General features: G+C 37.6%; 1 annotated feature.

Annotated features, from left to right (window-relative positions):
- Nucleotides 4,646–5,145: an enhancer, noted in NCBI's record as "H3K4me1 hESC enhancer chr13:87732807-87733306 (GRCh37/hg19 assembly coordinates)". NCBI's record gives its function as "activates a minimal SCP1, AML or CMV promoter by ChIP-STARR-seq in naive H9 embryonic stem cells {active_cell/tissue: H9 hESC(naive)}" and the evidence as "EXISTENCE:reporter gene assay evidence [ECO:0000049][PMID:30033119]".

Raw genomic sequence — 9,195 nt, forward strand, 5'->3', positions numbered from 1 at the left:
AAGTTATTCTCCTTCAAACCTCGCAGGGTCTTTGCCTTGTTGAATTTCAAATACAAACAGCACTAGATATTGACAAAAGGAATCGTATCTTGTTGTAATTATGGAGATATATTTCTTGCTTTTTCAATACAAAACCACATTTGTAATTTTCTTACTAAGGAACCACTTTTTGAAAATAGATGAATGACACTGACATAACACACCTGTAGCTGGGTCATCAAATCAGACTCACAGCAATTGGAGATCTTAATCATTATTACATTTTACCAATAAATCAAAAGACAGAAGAGATCAAAAGACACAGGTGAAACATAAAGTTTGAGACAGCTCTTGGGTTCATCTTAGCTGTTTGAGTGCACCCAGACTGAGATCCAGCATATGATGTATCTAAGTGATACACAAAGAAGCATCGCTTTCAAAAAGGGACCTATTTCAGTCAGAAAATATTGCCACCTTTTTTTGTCCAATAATGCTGTATCTGACATTCTTCAGTAGTCATCAGCCATATAACATAAATTTCAAATTTTGGACCATAAGCGACACGGACAGAATGTGTTTCTTCTGTTAAAAGACATCATAAGGAGGACATCAAAAGTTTCATGAGTATTTTTACAGAATCATTTTACTGATTCTTATTTTTGTGTTCCCCCAAGGTTACAGACTAGCTGCTATCCCTTTCCTTACCAGGATTATAATTTAGGAAAGTACCATAAAGATTAAAATTAAGATAAGGACTCTTAAGAGATACAGCCCTGCATTAATTGGACTATTTATTTTGAAAAATCTGTCTAGAAATTATATCACATTATATTCCTAAATCATGCATTGATTTTTGCACTTACCAAATTTTTGAAGCTGAATAGTCAAAACATTCATTTTGTTGAATTTTTAGGATCATCATAATTTATTTTATTTTGCTGTCCAACAAAAGGTAAACATAATAGCAGACAAAATCTTATGGGCTAGGAGTGAGAATAAAGTAAAACATCACAGTGAGTCACAAAGACATAAAAGAAATAAAGCCTCCAACAGGAAATGATTAAATTTGATCTTAAGAATGTATTCTGTGCTTTCTTCTTAATTAGAAAATCAGAAATAAAAAGTCAATACTGTTCATTAACTACCCAGCTAATAATGGAAGATAATTTCTCAATGTCAAATACATATCAGGATAAATACTATTAAAAACTTGATATTACATAATGTTAGAGATATGCGATTTGTCTCTTCACTGAGAATTTAGAATGACCATCAAATAAGTATGACAGCACATGATAAAAAAATGGTAAGCAGAAAATGACACAGCACTTATACACGATAAAGGTGAGTTATAATATACTCTTAAAATAGTGTATGTCTTAAATTATAATGAATAAACCTGAAGCATGACAGAATGTAATTAACCCAATGATATGGTATGTCAAGTGCACTTTCCTTAATAGTTTCACAAAACATCATGAGATGCGTGAACCAACCTTACCGTATCCATTAGTCATGTCCAATATTGCTCTTACTTGAGTATGTATAGTCACATATACATATATGTGTCTTAATGTTGCTGTCATATTAGTGAATTTCTTTTTTTGTGATCATCATTGATTTGCATTTACTAAGTACATTAATTAAGAGATTAGACAATTTTAGATCAGACTTTGATTTAAACATACAAATTATTGTATATCCAATATAATTAAAAATAATCCAGTTTTTAAAAATATTACAGATTCTGGCAAATCTTGTAACTTTTATTTTTCTGAAAAGCAGGGGACAATATTACATTTACAGATATCAGTGTGAAGATTTTGAAAACTCAGTACTCAGTACATATTTATTTGATTCACCAGCAAGATGGTGAAATAGGCATTTGTATTTTTCTCCCTCCTTCTTCAACAGATCTTATTAATATGAAAATAAAGTGACATGAAAGGAAACAAACCCACCAAAGTTGAGATTATATATATATAAAAGAAGAGATGTCAGAGGATGAAAGAGTTTAGCATTGTTCCAATACAGGTTCAATATCAGACTGCACTGATAGTGGGAGTCAACTTTCCAGCCAGACCACTGGGGTTTTTCCAACCATAGTATCAACATGAAGAGCATGTGAAACTCAGGCTGAAAACAAGCTCATTAATTACAGGGATAGTTATGAAAGCACTCTACCATTCAGCTCTTGAATTATTTCATCTCAATACAGATGGTATCATAAAGATTAACCCCAGTAAAAATCTGAGGGCTAACCAATAGAGGATCTGAATTAATTGCCTGGAGTCAATTAGGGATTCAGTTGTGAATCCTGGTGTTCCAGGGTTAGATTGTTCTCGTTTGTTTCCAAAAATAAGTTTTTTCTTACCATTAAGCAAAGACAGCCTAGTGGCAATATTTACACAAATCATTTTTTTTTCTTTTTAGGGAAAGACCTGTCAGTGAAACAGATTATCAAATAGATATGTACACACACACACACACACACACACACATTTGATTACATATGCAAACACATAAGAGAGGAATACCATAAATTATTTCTAGAAACACAATCTATTATACATTTTAATATGAATAATAACCAAGGATACCAGCATATAAAAAAATCAGTATAAATGAGAATAACACTTCATCATCGAGGAACAGTTAGCAGAAAATATATAAAAATATATAACAGCTAGTGTCATCACTATGCATTCCTAAAGAACATAAAGAATATGCCCTAAACAAAATACACAACTTCCAAATAAATGTATAAATACAGGCAACAACCTTTTCTGCCATTAATAGCATCAATGATTTTAATCACAACATTGATCAGAAAATGGGTCTCTTGATTAAGCAATCAGTAAGATGACGTTTAATCTTTTGGAGACTTACATCAAGTATAACACTGCAGTTATGGTGAATTACAAATAGATAAAGAGTGTATCAACCCAAATGGCCCAATATTTGACAAGAGATTCCGAGAGAAGAGAGAAAATGTAGAACCTGAAATTTCCAGACTAATCATATATTAGACGTATTCATGGTGTTACAGGCTCCTTCAGGTGTTGCTTCACCAGCCAGAAACCTTTGTTGCCAGCGGCGCCTCTGTTTGAGTTTTGCTACTGCCCGCTGGGCTCATTCGGCACACTTGGCCCGGCAGCCTGCATTGGCTCACCCTACCAACCTCACAAAATTTCATGAGACGTGTGAATCCCATGCCCGCCAAAGGCGAGCCAGATGTGGAGCAGCGAAGGATGTGTGAGCGAGCAAGCGAGGGCTCCGGCCACTGCGCACAGCCAGGTGTGCCGGCGGCTGTGGTGGGGCGGGCATCTCCAGGCGCCGGCACAGGCACCGGCTGCTTGCAAGGCTGTGCCTGGACCAGGCGTACTGCACTGGACTTCTGCTGCAGGCACCAGCGTCTGGCCGAGGGGAATGTGGTGGTGGCTGGAAAGCTTGGAGAGGCCAGGAGTCGCAGAGCCCCAAAGAGGGTGTTACAGTATGGCACAGCCCTGACTCAGGGAACCTTGAGGTCTGGGATCCCAGAAGTGCCACAGCTCTTCTCTCCCTCTCATCTCCTGCATCACGGTGGGCGGCGCATATTTCAGGGGGCTGTGTTTCAGCCCATTTGTGTTATAGCTCTTTCAGCCATGCCACTCTGCTGTGGTCCTAGCTCTTTCAGCCATGCCACTCTGCTGTGGTCCATGGCTCCTGGGCTGGCCTGGCCCCATCACTGCTTCCCATCACGTGGGGCGACTCAGAGGGCGAGAGGGCTATAGTGTTACAGCTCTGGCTTGAGGAATCCTGAGGTCTGGGCCCCGAGAAAGGTCGACACACTTCATTCCTCCAGTCTGGGAGAGTATTCCCCCCGCACCCCCGCCCACGCCACAACTTGGTGAGCCATCCAGGAAAGTGTTACAGCTACTTTTGTTCCCGCCATTCTGCAGGTTCTAAGTTCTTACCGTCTTTTCCAGGAAGAATGAGGTTACATGGACAATTGGAGGGTGAACAAGGAGAAGAGGAGCTTTACTGAGTGACAGAACCACTCTCAGCAGAAGAGGGACCCGAAATGGGCAGCTCCTACCCACAGGCAGGTTGTCCCAATGAGTGTGAGTCTGGCGGAGCCCAGGGATTTTTTATGGGCTCAGAATGGAGGAAGTGTGTGCTGATTGGGCCATGGGTGGTCCCGGAAAAAGCACCACTTGATTGGCTGAAAGGCATCAAGGTTGTTCTCAATTTGAGTCGTGATCAGAACCAGGAGGCTGGCCTTCCAGGTTCAGGCCATTCCTGGCTTGAAGATTCGGCCTCACCGGGGACCCACCCCTTCTTGCCTAGGAACCTGTCTGCCTCCTGCTGTCATCAACATGCTGTCCACTGCACCCAGGCTGTCCATGCCAAGGGTCACATGCAGGCTCGCGCCGAGCTGCCCTCAGCCCCGTCATCTACCTCCCATGCCCTTCAGTGCCCAAAGTTTCGGCCTCAGAAGCAGTTACCAGAGGGGGTCTAAGCAGCAGGTGGCTGGCATGTCAGCGACGCCCTGAGAACACATACACTCGGCCAGGTTGTGACAGTGTCCAGGCTCGGCTATCAGGACACATCCACAGTTTTGCTCCATCAAGGAGCTGGTGCTGGAAGGGGGAAGATGCCAGGGAGCCGGAGCAGGCACTTCTGAGCCTGCAGGGAGCAGGGGACTTCCCGGCCCCTGAGAGCGCAGGGATGCCCAGGTGCGGAGCCACCGTTGAGAGGCTGCAGCTGCATGCGAGGGCGTGGGCTGCCATCCCACCAACTCGGTAGGGCGTGGGGCTTCTGCTGGGATCGTCTGTTTCCGGCCCCCACCTGCTCTGCGGAGTGTGCAGCTCCGGCCAGCCTCTCCCACCGCGGCAGCTGCTGTATATGGCCCACCACCACCATCAAAAAGTTAGGAAAATGTAATGACTCCTTGAAAGTACACCACAAAATAAGTGTCTATGAGGTTGGATTTTAAAATATTGTGTTTTATGTGTATATGAGAGACAGAAAGAGAGAGAGAGAGAGAGAAATAGAATTGGGTCAGCTACAAAGGCAAGAAATCAGACTAATATCAGACTTTTCATCAGTAATACCGGTAGATAAAAGATAATAAAAAAAGGACCGTAATAATTTGGATGTCAATATATCTTGGAAATATTATTTCATATCATATATTATATTAATGAAATTGCATAGGTAATTTAATGACTTTAATAGACAAACAGATTTAAAAAATACGCTCATCATTTATTCTTTTTGAGAAAACAAAACACAACTTCAGTCCAACATTAATATTCAAATTAAGAAAGAGAGAATTTAGAACAACAACAACAAAAAAAAAAAAAACAGAAAAGACCAAACTGAAAATGAGCCAGGATTGTTGTTAAAATTCAAAACAAAACAAATTAGGATAAAGGTACGCTGTATAAAAAGCATTTTTTTTTTCAATTTGAAAGGCAATAGGTATAAAAATAGCTTCTAATGATGGAAAAGTATCACAAGCTACAGATAAAATACATATAATTTGTATTACCTTAATGAAAAATAAACCCTTATTCTCTCGGTGAAAGCAGTTAGAGTCTCTGAATGAAAAATCTTTGTAAAATAAAGTCATCATCAAAATATAAAAGAGGCCAAAAATAAAACATTATTTAAAAGAGTTGGTGTATAAAAAAGCATAATCCTTTGTATGATATGTTTCTTCTGTGCCTATTTTCTTGAGAAGAAAATCTAAAAAAAAAGAAAAATTCTTCTTGACATTGGCCTTGGCAGAAAATTCATGGATAAGACTTCAAAAAAATCCAAAAAAAGGTTAAATGGGACTTAATTAAACTAAAATTATTCTGCACATCAAAAAATAATCTATAGATTGAGCAAAAAACCTGCATAAAGTAGGATGTATTTGCGAACTATGTATCCAACAAATGACTAATATCCAGAGACTACGAAGATCTGAAACAACTCAAGATAAAAATAAATTCATTTAAAAGTGGGTAGAGATGGAAGCAACCTAAGTGTCCACCAGCAGACTATGCATAAATAAAACATAGTACCTATACACAATGGAGTACTATTCAGCCATAAAAAAAGAATTGAGATCCTGTCATGTTTCAGGACAAGATGAAGGTATTTCATAGCACATCAGGGTGACTATAGTCAACAATAAGTTAGCATATGTTTAAAAATAACTAAAAGAGTAGAATTGGATATTTTGTAACACAAAGAAAGGATAAATGCTCGAAGTGATGGATATTTTATCTACCCTGATGTGACTATTAAGCATCGTGTGCCTGTGTGAAAAGTCTCATGTACCTCATAAATATGTACACCTACTATCTACCCACAACAATTAAATATAAAATATTTATTAAGATTAAAAAAGTAGTGGGCAAAGGATATGAACAGACATTTTCAAAAGAAGACATAAAAATGACCAAGAAAATGATAAAAAATTCAACATCACTAATCATTTGAAAATAACTAAAACTATGATGAGATACCATCTTACACCAGTCAGAGTGACATCTATTCAACAGTAAAAAATGATAGATGCTGGTGAGGATGGAGTGAAAAGAAAACACTTATTCACTCTTGGAGAAAGTGTAAGTTAGTATAACCTCTATGAAAAACAGTATCAGTCATGCACTATCCAGTTTACTATTATCTCCGATTATATGACATGAGTTCTCATTTATTTCTGTTGATGGTCTTGCCTCTTTAGTTATCTGTTTTTGCAATGTTGCTATAATATTTTTCATAACTTTATGGAATACAGTGTAACTATGACCTATCTTGATAATTTAAAAGTAAATGCATACCTGAGAGACTTTTTAAAGTAGATAAGAAGAAATATTAAGTTGAGGGGAACATGAGGGTCACACATGATGAGTAATCTATAAATAGGTTTTTATAAATGAATAGATTAAAAGATGAAGTCTCATGGATACTATTAAAAATTGAAAGATAACTCAAAAAGCACATGAAAAGTATAAAATTCAATCACTTAAAGGAAAGGAGAGGTAATCGTGTTTGTAGGCAATTTGAATATTTAATTTTCAAAGTGGGATGTCAATATATTATTTAATGTCTAATCAGTGGTCTTTATGGGAGCTATTACCCCCTACCATCCACAGAACATTCTGCAATATCTTGAGTTATTCTGATGGAAATTGCTTTGATTGGAGTAGGGCAACTACAGGCAACTAGAGAATAGAGACCAGGGATGCTCCAAAACTTCCTTCAAGGCACAAGAAAGCCCTCTGCAATAAGAATCATCTGGTTCAAAATCCTAATATTTCTGAGGATATGAAATTTTATCAAGTTAGTATATCCAGGCAGGACAGAGCATGACAGCATAAGATTTTATCACACTACTAAGAATGGCACACAATTTAAAACTTATTAATGATTTTAATGGAATTTCCATTTACCATTTTTGAACCATGACTGACCACAGGCAATCAAAGCCACAGAAAGCCAACCCGTGGGTAAGTGGATACTATTACATAGGATTTTGAGTTAACAATTCTCTTCTTTCAACATCTGAAAAACATTTTGCCACTTCCATCTGAACTCATGGTTTTGGGCAACAAACCTCCTGCCTTCTAATTTTTTCTCTGATATCACTTAAACCTGGCTGCTTTCAAAATAGTTTGATTATAGTTTATACAAGCTTAATTATGAAGTGTATTGGCATGGATTTCTTTGAGGTTATTCTGGTAGACCTTGGTCTGGTTCTTGAATCTGTACTTTTATTTATGTATCTTGCCAAATTTGGGAAATTTTTCACCAGTATTTCTTAGAATATAATTTTCGCCCCACTCATTCTTCTACCCTTTCTGTTTTCCAATGTTAAAAAATTAGATTTTATGTTATAAATGCCTCTTTAATTTTTCAGGGCGTTTTCTGAAAAAAAGAATGTTGCACAGATTCAGTAATAACTATTGTTCTTTTTTTTTCAACCACTGACTTTTTTTCTTGTCTTCTCCATTTTGTTACTATTGAGCCCATAATCTGAATTTATTGTATTTTCAGTTCTTTCATTTTTTATATCTTCTATTGTTTGTAAAGACTTTCTATTTCTTTCCTAACACTTCCAATTTTTTTTCACTTGTTTCATTCATGCTCATAATTGCTCACTGAAGCTTCTTTATCATGGCTTCTTCAAAATCTTGTCAGATAATTCTACCATTTTGGTGTTGGTATCTATTGGGTGACTTTCTTAATTTAGGTTGAGATCTTGATTATTGGTATGATTAATACTTTCTTTTGAAATATGGATGTTTTTATACACTGTCATGTGACCCTGAATCTTAATCTCCTGTTTCAGCTGACATTTTCCGACACTGGTTAGCATGGAAATGGGGAAGGTTCTGCTTCGTTACTGATAGGTGAAAGTACAAGTTCAGGTTCTCCACTATAAGTTATTTGACAGGCAACAAGCTATTGTCTTCCTTATTGAAGGGCAGGTGTGAGTTTAACTTAGTTTACACTGACACCATGTGGGACAAGCTGTGTCAAAGCTCTGACTCTCCCCTATACCTCTTCTGACATTGTGCCAGTGGAGAGAGGGATAGCGCAATAATGATATCCTGGCTTCTAAACTGACCTTCTTTGAGGTCACTTCAGGGATATTGGGATGCCTTGTTACAGTGGGGTGAAGCTCACGCTTCCCACTCAGGTTTTGCTTGCATGTGCGGGATTTAGGTTAATGTTTTTTTTGTTGTTGTTTGTTTCTTTTTTGTTGTTGTTTGTTTCTCCGTGTTGTTTAGATGTAGGGGATTGGTTATTTCTGAAAGTTGTCTGTTATGCTAGCTGCACTCTTCCTGATGTTTTGACTAGAGACAGGTGAGTCTGTGGGGGATAGGGGAGCTAGCTATGGTATTTGTGTTGTCAGTTTCTTCAAGTCAAAATCTGAATTTTTGTGGGAAAAAAAGGAAACCTTAGTGAACTCAGCATCTTGTCTTTTTGAGGGTCACCAAGTCCTCTCTCCAACTTTTTAGAGCCTTCTTATGTATTTTTGACATGCTTTGTCCAGTTTTTATATTTGTACTTATTGAAAGAAAGAGAGGACATGTATCAATTCCATCTTCCTGGAAACCAAATTTTTTGTAAATATTAATTTTAAGTTCTATTGATCTATATATTATCGTATTTTTATTATGCATTTGATCTATGCTTAAAATTCTGTTTGTAGGGTATAATGTACTCAAT

This window comes from Homo sapiens, chromosome 13 (genome assembly GCF_000001405.40).
Source record: "Homo sapiens chromosome 13, GRCh38.p14 Primary Assembly".
Classification (NCBI taxonomy): domain Eukaryota; kingdom Metazoa; phylum Chordata; class Mammalia; order Primates; family Hominidae; genus Homo; species Homo sapiens.